General features: G+C 37.2%; 1 protein-coding gene across 1 annotated transcript in view, besides 1 other annotated feature; it reads right to left on the bottom strand.

Annotated features, from left to right (window-relative positions):
* The window catches only part of KMT2C (lysine methyltransferase 2C), a 301,079-nt gene that overhangs the window by 116,856 nt on the left and 166,467 nt on the right, over nt 1–17,756 (bottom strand). Inside the window, exons 8-11 of the mRNA NM_170606.3 lie at nt 13,258–13,429; nt 11,236–11,350; nt 766–935; nt 159–310 (exon numbers count right to left, since the gene is read on the bottom strand). Of these exons, the coding sequence (NP_733751.2) occupies nt 159–310; nt 766–935; nt 11,236–11,350; nt 13,258–13,429 (609 nt within the window). The remainder of the gene's footprint in view (nt 1–158; nt 311–765; nt 936–11,235; nt 11,351–13,257; nt 13,430–17,756) is intronic.
* Nucleotides 13,244–13,538: a silencer, noted in NCBI's record as "tiled region #15588; K562 Repressive non-DNase unmatched - State 15:Elon". NCBI's record gives its function as "represses a minimal TATA promoter and a strong SV40 promoter by Sharpr-MPRA in K562 cells {active_cell/tissue: K562}" and the evidence as "EXISTENCE:reporter gene assay evidence [ECO:0000049][PMID:27701403]".

Raw genomic sequence — 17,756 nt, forward strand, 5'->3', positions numbered from 1 at the left:
ACCAAGATAACAAATACATTTAAAGGTTGAGAAACTGAGAACAAGATGGAATCTGGAATACAGGATCCTCTCTTCCTGATTAAAGCAATATATTGGTGATACAATGGCACAACATTACAAAAACAAAAAATTTAAAAAAAAATCATTCTCAAATTTACCTGTAGTGAGCTCAGCTATCTCCACTTCCTCACCTGGCTGTAAACGATCCATCTCAGCTCCCAGGTGTTTACAATACATGCAGATATACTCTTCTTTGAGCTGAGTATCCAGTTCATGATCTGTTGGTTTGTCACACTCTAGGTGAACCCACCTGCAGTGATAAGTATACTTAAATAAAAATTTCTAACATCGAGTTATTATCTAGGTAAAGAGAAGGCATTGCTGAAAAGCTGGATATGAAAACAGTTAATTAAGTATGAGAGGAGAGAGGTTAGAGGAGTTGCTAACTGACAAAGGTTTTTTAAAGCACATTTGTGCATGTCACTAGAGATGCTGCCGTATTTTTACTTGACATTTTTAAGCTATTTTCTCTTTACTTTTCCCTATTAGTGCTCATTTCTGATGTGGTCTGGTCTTATCTTTTGCCCATTTACTTCCTTATGCCTTTGAGACTCAAAAACATCATTTAATTCCATCTATAACAGCAATCAGTACTGATGGAATTGCTAGAGTGATAAAAACTTAGAAGCTGTAAGATGGTAGAGCAAATGACCACATGAATAAAACAATCGACAAAACAACTGAATAGAATAACTATCTTCTTACCTTTTGCACATATTACAATGAAGCATGTCTTTCTGCAATTCTGGATGATAACACTTCCCACAGAAGGGACATAAGTTATCCTGCTGTTGGTAACAATTGTCACATATCAGGCAATTGTGGTGCCACTGAGAACTAGACCGTGTGCCACACTCTATACATATTCTGCAATTCTAAACACCAGGAAAAATAAAAACAAAAACAGTTTGTTATGCATTTGTAATTGTAGTTCTGATGTAAACCTTTAAAAAGTCATGAATCATTTGTGGATTATACATTAAGCTTTTATTTTCATGACACTAATTTAGGGTACATGCTTTTTTTTTTTGAGATGGACTCTTACTCTGTTGCCCAGGCTGGAGTGCAGTGGCGCAATCTTGGCTCACTGCAACCTCTGCCTCCTGGGTTCAAGTGATTCTCTCCTGCCTCAGCCTCCTGAGTAGCTGGGACTACAGGTGTGTGCCACCACACCCAGCTAATTTTTGTGTTTACTAAAGACACAGGGTTTCACCATGTTGGCCAGGCTCATCTTCAACTCCTGACCTCAAGTGATCTGCCTGCCTCAGCCTCCCAAAGTGCTGGGATTACAGGTGTGAGCCACTGCGCCTGGCCTTAGGGTATACACCTTTTAAAAAGCTGTTTTCAATGTCTGATGTGGCCTCACAAAATCTGCACTAAAATCTCCAGGAAAATTTAAATAAGGGAATGGGGATATCCAGGAAAACATATAGGTGGAAGAGATAAAACCAAAAAGACAGCAACTCAAAATTCAAAAAAAGAAACATATGCTAGGAGCAGGAAGTAATTTTTGTGGAGTAAGTCTGCTCAACTCTAAAACAATAGCATGGCCAGCCTGGTGTGATGGTTGATGCCAGTAATCCCAGCACTTTGGGAGGCCAAGATGGGAGGATCGCATGAAGCCAGGGATCCGAGACCAATCTGGGCAAGAAGGCAAAACACCTCTTTCTCTACAAAAAAAAAAAAAAAAAAAAAAAAAAAAATTTAATTAGCCATGGTGGTGCACACCTGTAGTCCCTGCTACTTGGGAAGCTGAGGCAGGAGAATTGCTTGAGCCTAGGAGTTTGAGGCTGCAGGGAGCTCACGCCACTACACTCAAGCCTGGGCAACAATGTGAGACTGCCATGGTGGGTGGGGAAACACAGAGCACGGTCAACGCCATGTGACTTGGTGTCTGAAAATGTGAAAATATATTGCTCCACATCAAAAGTCCAATGATGGCCCTTCATGTTTTTAGAATAGAGAGAGTGTCCTATCCTTACCAAATTAGAATTGTTTATGAAGTAAAAGGCCAACCAGAGGCCAGCCAAAACTACTTCTGTGCCTGTGAGCTAGTCAGCCTTAAAACCCTGGGTATCCCTGGGTGTAAGGTTAATACATTGTGGGGCTCTCATTACCCACCCCAAATTTTGAATCTAAAATATCAATAAAAGGGAACTTTATCTTTCTGTGCTACCAGGTTGATATGAAAGGGATGCTCACTTAAAAAGAGAAACTACCAGGAACCATAGATCAGCTAGTCTTAAAGATTAAAATGAATGCACTTAACAACACTGATGCAAAAATCCTAAATAGCTGGGCACGGTGGCACAGAACTGTGGTGTCATCTACTTGAGAGGCTGAGGCAGAAGGATCTCTTGAGCCTAGGAGGTAGAATTCAGCCTGGGCAACACACAGAGACCCCATCTTTTGAAATACATACACATATATTTTTTAAAAGAATGTATTATCCTTTATCTAATGAGAAGGAGAAAAGAAAAACAATCCTAAATAAAATACTATCAAACAGACTCTAATACCACATTAAGAAAATAATAACTATGCCCAGGTGGAGTTTATACAAGAAATTCAAAGATATTTAATATTAGAAAAATCCATTAATAAAGTTTAACAAATTAAAAGGTCTGAGGAGAAAAAATTATTTCAATGCAACAGATGATTAAAGAAAGAAGTCTTTGGGAAGAATCAAAACCCATTACTAATAACTCTTGAGAAAGTAAAAATGGATGGGTATTTCTCTAATGTGACCAACATAAATACTTCAATTCTAAAGGCAACATCTTATTTTATGGGAGAGCCCGAGAGGCATTCCCACTAAGGACAGGAAAAAGCAAGGGTGCCTATTATCTCCACTACTATTTTAACATGGTTCTGGAGCCAATGCAAGCATTGAAACAAATGAAAACAGAAACATAAGACCAGGAAAAGAAGAAACAAAACTCTTAATTTGTAAACAGAGTTGGAACATCCTAGAAAATTGTTCAAAAATTCAATAAAAGAATTCAACAAAGTACTAGGATATAAAATTAGCATGCAAAAGGCAATAGAATTCACACACACAAATAACGAGTTAAAGGATGGTAAGAAAACCCCATTTATAACAGCAGAAAAATAAATATTCAAGAATAAGCTTAAATGTTGAAAATCAGTATGAAGAAAATTATAAAACACTCCTAAAAGACACAAAACTAGACTTTAACAAACTTGTAAAGACATCCCTTGTTCTTGGTTAGGATGTCTTAAAATCAAGATGTCAATCAACTCTCACTTATATATATATATATATATATATATATATATATATACATATATATATATGTGTGTGTGTGTGTGTGTGTGTTTTGGAAACAGGGTCTTGCTCTGTAGCCCAGGCTGGAATACAGTAGCATGATCATGGCTCACTGCAGCCTCGAACTCCTGGGCTCAAGTGATCCTCTCACCTCAGCCTTCTGAGTAACTGGGACTATAGGCGTGTGCCACTACACCTGGCTAATTTTTTTGTATTTGTAGAGAGGCAGTTTCACCATATTGCCCAGGTTTGTCTCAAACTCCTGAGCTCAAGCAACACCCCTGCCTTGGCCTCCCAAAGTGCTGGGATTACAGGTGTGAGCCACTGCACCCAGACACTCAATAAATTAAATGTGATTCCAATAAAAATTCCAATGAGGTTTTTATTGGGGCTACATATGGTGATCCTAAAGTTTATACAGAAAAACAAATACACAAGCACAGATAAGAAACCTGTGAAATGGATAAGTTCTGAAGGGGCCCAACATTACCAGATACTACAAAGGCTCTATAACAAAAACAGTGTCGTACTGGTGAATGAATAGACAGATCGATGGAATGGAAAAGAGGTTCCAGATATAAGTTCAATCAAATCTAACATTGTAGTCTGGAATCTCAAGTCACTAGGGCAAAGACAGTCTTTTTAATGAATGGTTTTTAGAAAACTGAATAGCCAGTTGGAAAAAGATACTCACATCATACACAAACATCAACTCCAAATAGATCAGAGATTTAAATGTAAAAAATAAAACAATGCAAGCCATACATGGTGGCTCACAACTGCAATCCCAGCACTTTGGGAGGCCGAGGCAGGCAGATCAATTGAGGCCAGGAGTTCAACACCAGCCTGGCCAACATGGCAAAACCCTATCTCTACTAAAAATACAAAAATTAGCTGGGCGTGGTGGCGCATGCCTGTAATCCCAGCTACTTGGGGGAGCTAAGACATGAGAATCACTTGAACCCGCGAGGGGGAGGTTGCAATGACCCAAGATTGAGCCACTGCACTCCAGCCTGAGCGACAGAGTGAAACTCTATCTCAAAAATAAAATAAACATAAAAACTGCAAATCCTAGCAGAAAATATGAACTCCTCTATACCCTCAGTGTAGGGAAAGGCTTTCTGAATATGACTCAAAAATCCAGAAGCAAAAGAAGATTAATAAATCTAACTCCATAAGAAAGAAACTTTTGCATGGCAAAAAAAAAATAATAAAAACAAAGTCAAAAGACACATAATACAGCCTGGACAACATAGTGAGACCCTGTCTCTACAAAAGTAAAAAATTAGCTGGGCTTGGTGGTACACATAACTCCTAGCTAACTCGGGAGGCTGAGGCAGGAAGACTGCTTGAGCCCAGGTCAAGGCTACAGTGAACTATGACCATACCACTGTACTATGGCCGGGGTGATGGAGTGAGACACTGTCTCACACAAATAAGCAAAAAAAACAAGAACAAATAAGCTGGCAGAAAGTATCTGCATCATGTAACACAGATAAAAGCTTACATCCCTAACTTATAAAGAACTCTTAAATTTAGGGGAAAATGCCAAAATCTTCAATAACAGGCAAAACACATGAACAGACAATTCACGAGAAGAAATTAAAACTGACCCTTAAACACATGAAAAAACGATCAACTTCACTCAGGATAAACAAAAATTAAAACTACATTGATACACCACTTTTCGCCCAGAAGACAGACAAACATTCAAAAGCTGAACAAGTCATCCTGTTAGCAAAGACGTAAGAAAAGTTCTCTCACACATCTCTGGTGGCAATGCAAAGTACCATAAGCCCCAAGAAAGGGAATCTGACAGTATCTAACAAAGCTACATATGTGTACACTCCTGAGGCAATAATCCTACTTCTAGGAATTTACCCTACAGATTTGTCCCTGAGAATTCAAAAACACACATGCACAAAGCTAGGGAGTGTAAAATCATTTATAATGCAAAATATCGTAAACTACTGAAATACCAAAGCACAGGCCATTGGTTGAGTAACCCATAGCACAGATACACAATGGAGTGCTATGCAGCTGTTTAAAAGGAGAATGAGATCTCTTGAACTTGCCTAACTTGCCTGGAAGTGATTTCCAGATTTTATTACACGAAAAAAGCAACATGCAAAAGAACATACACAACATGCTACCTTCACTGAAAATAAGAGCAATATATCTTCTTATTCTTAGACGAAAAATAACAGGAGGTTTAAAACAGAAAACAATGAAGTTAGTTACTTCCAAGAGGTTGGGAGAAATGGAGTATAAATAATAAACAAGAGGCAGTGACAATTCTGAGTAAAACTTCATATAGTATTGAGTTTTGAAAGTATACTAATATCTTCTATATTTAAAAAATTAAATCACTAAGAAAAGAAAGGGGAATAAAATCTATTACTGAGAGCAAACTGAAGCAGACTTGCTTTTTAGATTGAGCAACTGAATAAATGTGCTGATGTTGCTACAACCCAGAATTTTTATTGTAGAAGAACAGACATGCAAGAATGAGAAGGCAAAGAATTCAGTGGAGAAGGACAAGAACTGGAGGTACTGGTGTAAATTCATTATTTCTAAGTTATGCATATGTATATGAATATTTATGTGTATATACGTTAAGTGTAGGGGTGTTCAATGTTTTGGCTTCCCTGGACCACACTGAAAGAAGAAGAATTGTCTTGGGCCACACACAAGATACACTAACACTAACGATAGCCGATGAGCTACACACACACGCACACACACACACACACACAAAAAAAACACCTCATAATGTTTTAAGAAATTTTATGAATTTCTGTTGGGCCACATTCAAAGCCATCCTGGACCACATGTAGCCTGCGGGTCATGGGTTGGACAAACTTCTGTAAGTGTATACACACGCATGTATTTCCTGACACCACCTGCTGAAAGGATGAAGAAGCAAACACCCTTCAGTAGCAATGAGCACACCCAGCACCCATTCCCCACTAAAGGAATCTGGGTTACTTATTTAACAATGGACTTATTCCAGGGCTGGGGCACAGGAGGTATAAGATGAGCTTGTAACATCTTGTTACACCAAAAAGTATGAAGTGTTCAAGTAAGTGGTGAGGGCACAACACCAGCGCCAGCTTGAAGGAGCAACTGACAGCAAGTATGGGACTATTTCAGCCAAAAAATAATTAGGTAATGAGTTGTAAATGATTGAAGATAATAGGAGCTCATGAGTCAGTATTAATAAGTAAGTTTAACATGTGAAAGAAGTGTTCTTGCTTACAAAAGAAAGCAGAGGGCTAACTGGTAAATGCGGTGGGAGTGCTAGAGCTGGAAATGCATCATTTGCAACCAAAACAAAGCAGGTTAAAATGGCATCATCAGGCAGTAAGTTTGTTGTTGTTGTTGTTGTTGCTGTTGTTGTTGTTGTTGTTTTTGAGACAGAGTCTATCTCTGTCACCCAGGCTGGAGTGTAGTAGCATGAGTTCGGCTCACTGCAACCTCTGCCTCCCGGGTTCAAGCAATTCTCCTGTCTCGGCATCCTGAGTAGCTGGGATTACATGGCACCCACTATCATGCCTGGCTAATTTTTGTATTTTTATTACAGACAGGGTTTCACCATGTTGGCCAGGCTGATCTCGAACTCCTGACCTCAACTGATCCACCCGCTTCAGCCTCCCAAAGTGCTAAGATTATAGGCATGAGCCACCACACCCAGCCTAGGGAGTAAGTTTTTCAAATCTAGAAGGAAATTCTGAGGAAAAGCAAGATATTTGCATGGTCTTAAAGTGTCCTTACATACTGCTTTATTAGATACAAAGGAGGGGGAAAAGAAATTGGACAACAGCCTGACCAGGTGATTCCCATGAGGGAAAGTGGAATAATGTGTGCTTCCAGCTGTGATACCCTGAGGATGGATCAGTACTTTGCAGTATTCTGGCCAATAATGCATGCCTCTCATCTAATTATAAGGGGATATCAAAGACAAAATGGGGAAATTTGTTTGAAAAAAAGAAAAAAACAAGTATATCGAGAAGAACTCTATTCTTCAAAAATACCAATGACAAAAACTAAATCCTAGAACCTACTTGGAGGAAGGGGTAGGTTATGAAGGACATAAGATCAAATGACATAACTGGAATATGGCTAGTACATTAGATAAACATACTACATTGATGTAAGTTTAGGAAGTTGATAGCAGGATTGTGATTTTTTAAGAATATTCCTACTATTAAGAAATACATACTGAAATGGTGGTAAAAAGGCACAACGTATGTAATTAACCCTCAAATAGTAGGGGGTTAGGGGGAATAGAGACAAAAACACAGACACACACACGCGCACACACACACACACACACACACACACACACACACACACACACAGAGAAAGCAAGAGAGGGCATGCCCAGTGACAATGAAATGCTAACAACTGATAAATCTAAGTAAATGCGACATGGGTATTATTTTTATTTTCTCCAACTTTTAGAGTTTGAACTTATTTTCAAGTAAAAACTTTCTAAAAACACATAACATACCAACAAACAGACATTCTTGAGATAAAAATAGGAAAAAGAAACCTATCTGACAATGACTGGTTTACAATAAAGATCCTGAAAAGATTACCCCCACTCCAGCTCACCAGGGAGCAGCCCCAAACTAGACTGACAGCCCTGTGGGGGCACACTGATTTGTCCCAACATCTCCAGCCTTCACTACAGTTTCACACACAGTAAACACTCAAAAGTTAAATGCAAACAAATGAGCAAATTATGACTCAAGACTACAGAGAGAACTACAGAAGAATTTAACAGCAGAGAAAGATGATCACTCTTCAAATGGTTCAAAGGACAAACCTTTCAATCCATGAAAAACTCTGGTAACTATTTCTGTACTTACTTTGTGTTAGGCATTGTGCTGGGCACTTTATAGATACCACTTCATTAAATCCAACATCCCTGTGAGGTAAGTACCGTTAACCTTCTATACACTGACTTAGGGAAGTTAAACAGGTAGCCAAAGATCATCAATTTAGTAACTGAAAAAACTGCATTTTGACTCCACAGCATAAGCTTTGAACCACCACACTATAGTCCCTTCATAGAACAGGATAAAAAGATTAAGTATCCAATAGTATTCCCAGAAATTATGTAATTCTGTCACTCTCAAAAGAGAATAGCAGATTACAAAGAGCAAATTAGAAAGAAGCACACCAAAGGGGAGACAGAACAAGCTGAGAAAGACACCCAGAATTCTCTACCAGTTCTCAAGATAATGAAAACCCTAATAAAGAAGATCAAGAGCAAGAACAAAAATTATCCAGTAGTTACTAGATATTATTAGAGAGTGTAAAGAAGGTAATTTTTTAAGTAAATATATTTTTTTAAAAAGGTGCTGGGGTGGCGTGGGGGATGGGGACTCACACATCTCCCAAAGCTTTCAGGAAGAAAAAAAGGATTATGATTAAATTTTTTAAAGTTAAGATTTTTCTTGTGACAGCATAAACTGAAAAAACTGAAGAAAATGTTTTCAGAGTATAAGAAAGAAAAATTTGTAATATGAAACATTATACTGTGCCAAGTTCTTATAGCCTAAAGGGAACAGTCTCTTTCAGACATGTAGGGTTTCAGAAAATTTATAATTATTTTTAAAGGAACATAACCAAGACTCCGAAAGATTGAGGGTAAAGTTGGAATTAACAGAGGAAATATATTTTTGAAAGAAAATTGTGACAAGGTTTATAATCTAGGTTAATCAAATCAAACAGAGAAAAGGGGAATAAAAACTTCATTTTCAGTGGGGAATGGGAGAAATTTTATATCTTTAACATTTATAATCATTTACATTCACAAAATGAGATTCTGAATTATAAATCATTGCAGGAAGTAAAAGAAGAGAAAAGTAGAAAGGAATTATAAGAACAATTTTGCCTCAAAACAGCCAAGCATTTCAATTACAACCATCAATCCAAACAGTTACCTCTATTAAGCTTTTCAAAAGATAACATTTTTATAACACAAAAGAATCCAAAATAAAAAGATGTGAAAAGATAACCATTCAACTGTTAAACTAACACCCTACGTGGCCATAGTGTCAGGCAAAGCAAAATACCTGCCCTTCCTGATCCCTCAACAAAAAACACATTACATAGAATAAAGAACAATTTCATACTGGTAAAAAGCACAATATATTAACACTGGCGTGACCTACTTGCTAAATAACAGCCACAAGGTATTTGTTTAAAAATATGATAAATTGATAGGAACAATTAATAGTGGTCAATTGTAACAACTTGTTGAATCAACAAGTCAAAAAATAAGGTAAAAGGACTTCATCTAACTAAATGAAATTAATAAACACAAATGCTACACCTTTAAAAAGTCACTACAAGTATCAACACATTTATTTTAAAAAACCTACCTTAGTTAAATTATCTGATTAAATGAAATGAAAGCATAAATTAACATACTTCAGCACAACTTAAAAAAAAGATAAAGATATTCGGTAAGGTATATACATACATAAAGTTACAAATACAATAAATTTGGCTTCAGCCAAAGCTACAGCCGAAGGTAAACTTATAGTCTTAAATGTCCTTTTTCCTTAGGAAAGGAAAGAAAATGAATTACAAATTCAACTTCATATTAAAAATAAAAAGGCAAGTAGAGGAACTGAGTGAAGATAAGAGTGTAAATATACAAATCAGTCAAATAGCAGAGTTTTTCCTTTCCAATGATAAGTCATTCAGCAAGAGAAGGAATCTGAACTACCTGAGGAAGCAGGCCAGAGTTCATCACAATCCTTCAGCCCTCAGACCCCACTTCCCAGGTAGCCACAGCTGAGCACAGTTACCCAGCAGCTCTTTTTCCCCCCAGGAGAGAAAGCCCCTCCCCTCAACCCCCACCACTCAGGCAGATGCCTAATAGGACTTGCTGAAGACCACAAAAGAACCTGGTAATACTGCTTGCAGTTCTAGGTGCCAAACCTCACTGGCGAGGACAGGGTGCAGGTACAGAATCTCCCTGCGTCTGCTCCACCTCCTCCCCCAGCTGGGGACCTGGGGTTCTGGCCACATCACCCTCCTTTCCCAGGCCCTCCACCTCCTCACTAGAAAAAGCAGTTCCAAGAAGAGCAATGACAATGCTGTGCCTTCCACTCCCGCACACGGGCCATCATGCCCTCTCCAGCTCCAGGAAAAACCCGCTCCAGGCCCATGCAGCACCTGAGGGTCATCTCCATCCCTCAACCTCGCAACACCAGCAGCCCAGGAAGACTAAGCTTAAAAGCTAAACCGCACCTTGGATTCCAAGGGCTATCTCCACTACCCCACTGCCCCCAACCCGGCTCTGAACGCCTCACCCTGAAGGGGCAGAAGCCAAGTGAGGTAGGAAGTTAGTTAATGAGCTCATCGGCATTTTTTGTAATAGCTCAAAATTTTGAAGGACCCAAATGTTCACCAACAGGTGATTCAATACACAAATTGTGGTATCTCCAGCACTCAGTAATAAAAAAGAATCACTACTGATCTGTGCAGCAATATGGATGAATTTCAAAATAATTACACTGAGTTAAAGAAGCCAGACCAAAAACGAGTATATAGTATATGAAGCTTTTATTAAAAATTCTAGGAAGTGAATACTAATCTATAGTGAAAAAGCAGACTAGGAAGACAGAGTTTGGGTTTGAACAGCCACAAAGCAAGCCAAGAGGCACCAGGAAACTTTTGAGGGTGATGACTATGTTCATTATCTTGAAGAGTGTACAGTTTATTATATGTCAGTTATATGTCAATAAAGCTGTTTTTAAAAAGCTGATGGTGATGATGTACAGATTTGAATAGGTATCCGATTTGTCTGGTCTCCATATAAAACATAGAGAGGATTTAAAAAAATAAATAAATAAACAACTTACTTTGCATTTCCAGCCATTGGTTGGTACTGATTTCATAACTGGTTGAAGACAAAAAGTATGATACCCTTTGTCACACGTATCACACACTAGCATCTTGCTATCTTCTCCCGATTGTCTAAAAAATAAGATAGCATTAATGATGCCTTATCTTTAAACTTATGTTTTGTAACATAAGTAATCATGAAAATAATCAGTCCTGGGAACTGCACAGTTCATAAATACCTCAGTATCTGTTTTGTCTCTGCAGATAGTAACAGAGGTAACCCTGCCATAAGGATTACCTCCTAAATGGTGATCTTTACTCAATGCTCACCTATGGTTAACTTGCTCTAGCCATTTTAGGATTCCTGCAAAGGAGGAAGGGTTAAGGCAAGATGAATAGCCTCTGATCTTTACTTTTAAAATAGAATTTTTGAGAGGAAGGTGCTATAACTGATAGGTGCTACTGTGTGGAAAGGAACAAATCTTGGCACAGCGAATTGAAAAGACACTGTCGTATAACGTAAAGAGGATCAAATTTGGCATCAGATCTCTATTTGTATTCAGGCTGCTGTTTTCTAGCTGTGTCACTAAACAACTTAGACTAAAGCTCTCTGAGTTCCAGGTATAAAATGGGAATAATAAAGATTACTGCGAGAATTAAAGGTAATGCGGGTTCAAGTGCTTAGAATGTCTATTAAGCAATTAAATGCTGAATAATTATTTCAAAATACGAACCTTGTCATAATTATTAAGAATTATAGTTGAAAACCTAAAATCTTTCTCTAAACACTCTTCTGCCCCCAAAGATTGGGCCCCTGTCCTACAGCTTTATCTCTGTTGAGATTTTTGACTATAATCACTTTCAGATACTATGATTTTAAATTCAAGAGGAGGGGAAAAGAAACAACAGGGAAAGCAAGAAGAGCTGAGAGAGGAATCTCTGAATGAAATCTGGGGGATAAATAGATGTCAACAGGAAGATGGGTCAGTTAGCCTCCAATTATTATTCAGTTCAGCCTCTCCATAAAAAGTCACGTTTTATCTCCTCAGCTACGTGGAAAGATCTTGGAGGACAAGTACTCTTCCTTCAAGTTCTTTTAATCCTTCCCAAGAAACTGAGCGCAGATATAAGGTATCGAATAAATGTTTACTGAATATTTTATCTAATTTTTACCAAAATATGGAGGTACATAGTCCTATTTATGTCACGTAACTCTAAGATACTGACGTTTATTTCTTATCAAACTAAATAATAAAAACAGACTGATCATGGCAGTTGGGCATAATTCTTGCTGGTTACAACAAAAATTCTCAGCCTGTAAATGAAGATACTGGTAACATCCCCAAATTATCATGCTCATTAGAATCATGGGGGTGCAAGCGGAAATCACAGAAAAGACTGGAGAAATGACCAAGAGATGAAATACCATAGGAAAATATAACCCCCTTACAAATTTGTAAATGCCACATATTTCGTTTTGGAATTATGCTGACCAGGATCTACTCAAGGTGGCTTTTAGAGAGATGCAGATGTACATTAAAATAATAGTAGAAATTGTCCTTCCTGGAATGGAAATTCAAACACATGACTGATTTTTTGGCTCAACTCTAATTCTTCTACTTCTGTAGTTAGACGTTTAAATCCTATTAAATCTCCTCCCCAGTACCCCTTAAGAAAAACTACTTTATTCTTCTGTTTGTTTTAAATTGTTAATATCGCTTATTTTTTAAATTGTTGGCAAATTTAAATTAGCTCTTTAGACGACCAGAGCAATTTAAATGATTAAAATCAGTTTTGTTTAGACTTCTTTCAAAATTATATAAATGTTATTTATATTATAATATAATAACAAATTATATTATGGATATATACTGGATAAATGTTATAATATCCAGTAATTTTTTTAAGTATGATGAAGTCACTGAATGAATATAGCTAAAATATGAACAACCTCTATTATATTACACAAACCTTTAGCACCTAGTAATAGGGTCCCTCTTAAACCCAATACACAGCTTTGAATTGAAATGAAAACTTACTTGCAGTTCTGGCACACTTTGCACTCAGGACATTGCCAACCTGCACGTTTTAATGGAGTAACCGCTATATCCAGGCACATTCCATGATAGTGCTGACCACAAGTAGTACAAAAGAACTGATCTAAGAGGTCTCCCGGGCTGTCGCACACTGCACAGTTTGCATCTTCCTTCGCTATAATTAACAGTGAAACAATGAAATTGTTGTATAAGAATTTAAATTTTTTCTGACTATACAGTAAAATCATTTGAAAGGATTTGCATCATGAACCTTTCAGACATTTGAAGTTATTCACATTGAATTGTCATCTAATCAGAAAGAGGTACCAATAAAAACACTGTAGGGTATTTAATCTAAATGTAACCACATTAAATTTAATCGTATAGTTTTGCAATTATTTGTGGCTATATCTACTTGAGACCATAAGCAGGTCTTCTTTAATTTTCTATTCCTAATGCCAATGATAATGCTGGATACCTAATTAATGCTCAATATATGCTTACTGGAAAGAACCAAACAAGGAAAATACAAATTAAGAAATGCTTTGCAGTGTAACATAAACATTTTCTTTGAATGTTAAATATATTTTGAAATTACAAAATCAGATAAGAGACAAAATTAAGAAACATTAATATCAATTAGACTAAGATGCTTCTTAAGCATAAACAGACTATTCAAATCATATAAGGGCTTTTTTTTAATTACTGGAAAATGCCTTATGTGGAAGAACATTAAAGACAGAAGCTACATATTCATACACAAACACATTACTTAATATACTAATTATATATTCATCTATATTAATTTCTAGTTGTAAAAGCATTAAAATCCACATAATTATGGACATCATCCATCCCTAAATGTGGATTAAAAGAAAATGTACTAACAGTTCTTTTACCATATAAAACAGAAAATATAAGGATAAACTGCCCTGCCAAATATACAGTTAAACTTATGCATACTGCAAAATAAGGAAAATAATGTATTCTAAAATCATACCAATCTTAGATAATGTATAAAAAATATGCCTGTATATAACAAGTATCACAAAGTATATGAATCTTTTCATTTTTTGAAGGTTTGATCATTCCTATCTACTATTCTGACTCATACGTTCTTTCTTTTCCAGTCAAGCCTATCATACCAACCTTAGATAATATATATAAATATGCCTGTATTTAACAAGTATCACAAAGTATATGAACCTTTTTTTTTTCCTTTTTTTTTGAGACAGAGTTTCACTCTGTCACCTAGGCTAGAGTGCAATGGCACGATCTCGGCTTACTGTAACCTCCGCCTCCCAGGTTCAAGGGATTCTCATGCCTCAGCCTCCCCAGTAGCTGGGCTTACAGGCGTGTGCCACCATGCCCATCTAATTTTTATATTTTCAGTAGAGACGGTGTTTCGCCACATTGCCCAGGCTGGTCTCAAACTCCTGAGCTCAAGCAATCCTCCTGCCTCAACCTCCCAAAGTGCTGGGATTACAGGTGTGAGCTACCACACTCAGCCTTTTTTCCATTTTGAAGGTTTGGTCAATCCTATCAATTTCTCTCTGACTCACACGTTCTTTCTTTTCCAGTCAAGCATCTTGAAACAGAGTAAAAATATATTTCTTTTATTTGTACCGGAGTCTGCAAACTTTTCCTGAAAAGGGCCAGATAGTAAATATTTTAGGCTTTGTGAGCCATAGCAGTCTCTGACAAAAAGTCAGACTTTTTGTTTTTATTTGCACTCTTTTAAAAATGTAAAAATAATTCCTCGCTTGAGGGCAGTACAAAAACAGGCTTCAAAATGTGGACGCTGGCTGGACCTCTGACGTACTTCATGAAGGCTGGCTTAGCACCTAATACTCATCTGAAGCTACATTAGTGAGGTTGCCAATGCCCATAGGAAACCCGATTGTTACTTTTTAGTCTTTGGCTTTTTGCACTTTGTAGCATTTGCATTGCTAGCCACTCCCACATTAAAACGCCCCTTTCCTTAGTTTCTATCATGGCAACTCTCTCCTAATTTCTCCTTAGTTTTCCCTTACTTTCATCTCATCCTCCTTTGTTGGCTTTTGTACCTATACAATCTTTCTAAATGCTGGAGTTTCTTAGGATTTCATCCTTTTCCTTCTTTCCTAATCCCCCATAGTTTCCCTTTGTGATCACATCAACTCTCATGCCATAAAATGCCACCATGATTCCTAAATCTGTATTATTGGCCCTAGAATTCTTTCATAAACCCCAAACCTTTATTCTTCAAGTCTTACTGGATCTCAATAGCCAGATGTTCTAAAAACACTCAATCTCAACTGCTCTAAAGTGAAACTTTTTTAAAAACCCGAAACATCATCCATTTTTCTCAAGAATAGATAAAGGCAGAAACCTTAGTATCACTGTTCACTCTGAACTCAGCCCTGACCCAACACATCCAGCCAGATCCCAATTCTTATGTATTAAACTTCCTACACATCATTCTTCCTTGTATGTTTATAGTTTAGTCTATCATATTAGGTTGGTGCAAAAGTAACTGCAGTTTTTGACATTACTTTTAATGGCGAAGACTGCAATTACCTTTGTACCTACCTAATACTCTGTCTCGCTAACTGCAGTATCTTCTGCATCAAATCATCTCTACTTATGGTTCTGACATCCTGTCTAAATCATTTTCTGCACATCCAGAACAATCTTTCAAAAATGTAAATCTAATTGTTAACCTCTGTATAAATTAAAACTCCACCAATACCTCATTTTTCACCTAAAAGAAAATCAGAATTTTCAAGTATGAGGCAAAAAGGCCCTTATCTCCCTTTCCAACTGAATCTCAGAACCACTCACTATCTCGTGGTCATGGTGGGTTGTCTGCCATGCACCTCACATAACATGCTATTCATGTCTGTGTGCTTTTACACATTCTGTTCCCTCTGCTTGAAATTTTGTTTTTCTGCTGTGCTCCCAGCCTTCAAAACTCTGCTCATGGCTGGGCACAGACACTCACGCCTGTAATCCCAGCACTCTGGGAGGCCAAAGCAGATGGATCACTTGAGGTCAGGAGCTCGAGACCAGCCGGGCCAACATGGTGAAACCCCATCTCTACTAAAAATACAAAATTAGCAGGGTGTGGTGGCACATGCCTGTAGTCCCAGCTACTCAGGAGGCTGAGGCAGGAGAATCGCTTGAACTCGGGAGGTGGAGGCTGCTGTGACTGGAGTTTGCGCCACTGCACTCCAGCCTGGGGGACAGAGTGAGACCCTGTCTCAAAAAAAAACTCTGCACATTATTTCCTGAATACCTATTACCACACCCAAATACCTTTAGTTGTTGAATATTACTTTTACCCATATGCTTACAAGAAACTTCTGTTACATAATCAATTAATTACAGCACAACTCTGTGAATCCTTGAAGGACAGGGGCCTTAACTTTTTTAACTTTGTATCCCCAACTGCCTAACATGAATCAAGTCTTATTGAACATATTTTAAGTGAAGGACTTACTGCTAAAATCACTTTTAAATGGCTCTTTAAGTGATAGGCATTTAAAATAAATCATTAATCTAACAATGGAAGCATCATAAATTAGTTCATTTTTGATAGAAAGGACATAACTGGGATGTTATGTTTCTTAAGACAGTACCAGTATTTATCTTTCAAAATATGTACATTTAAAAATTGATCTTTTTGCTCACCGTAAAACTTTTAAAAATTGGGGGAAATAATAAACTAATTATCAGATAAACAATTCATTTTTCTATTATACTTTCCTAGGAACACTAAAATGCTTCTGTGAAACTTTCTAGAGTTTGCTCCCCTGACACTTCAAGTTGCCATGGTAGCTACTAGCGACATGTGGTTTCCAAACAAGTGAAATGTAATTAGTTCAAATCGAGGTGTGCAGTAAGCATAAAATGCACACTGGATTCCAAAATCTTAACAGGAGAAAAAGTATCTCAAAATTTGAGATATTACTATTTTGGATTACTGAATTAAATAAAATTTACTACAATTATTCCCAATGTTTCCTTTTACTCAAATTTTTAACATACCCACTAGAAAAATTACTTATGTTGCTCACATTGTATTTATACTGCACAGCACTGTTATACACAACAAAGTTCGCTCTGCAACAAGACAACTGTCATTGTCACAAAAATCACTTTTTAGACTATGATGATTTCCACCAATTCCTTACTGATAACCTTGCTGTGTTCTTTGATTACTATGGATCATTGGTAATAAATTAGTCAAAGAAAAACATCCATGTAATACATACATCTGGTGCAAAAACACTTAATATGCCTTATGTGAAACACAATAATTTTTAAAAGCACTACACAAAGAAATGAGGTTGGTTCCAACCCTCCCAGTCAGGGAGAAGATGTGTGGGAATACTGAAACAACCTTTTGGAGGTCATGTACAAGATTATCGATACTACTGGATAGCTTTGGTGTCATGACAGAAATTAAATATGAATATTTAGACACACATGTCTGTAAGCCAGAGACACTAAGTTTAAAG

The sequence above is a fragment of the Homo sapiens genome, chromosome 7, assembly GCF_000001405.40.
Source record: "Homo sapiens chromosome 7, GRCh38.p14 Primary Assembly".
Lineage (NCBI taxonomy): Eukaryota > Metazoa > Chordata > Mammalia > Primates > Hominidae > Homo > Homo sapiens.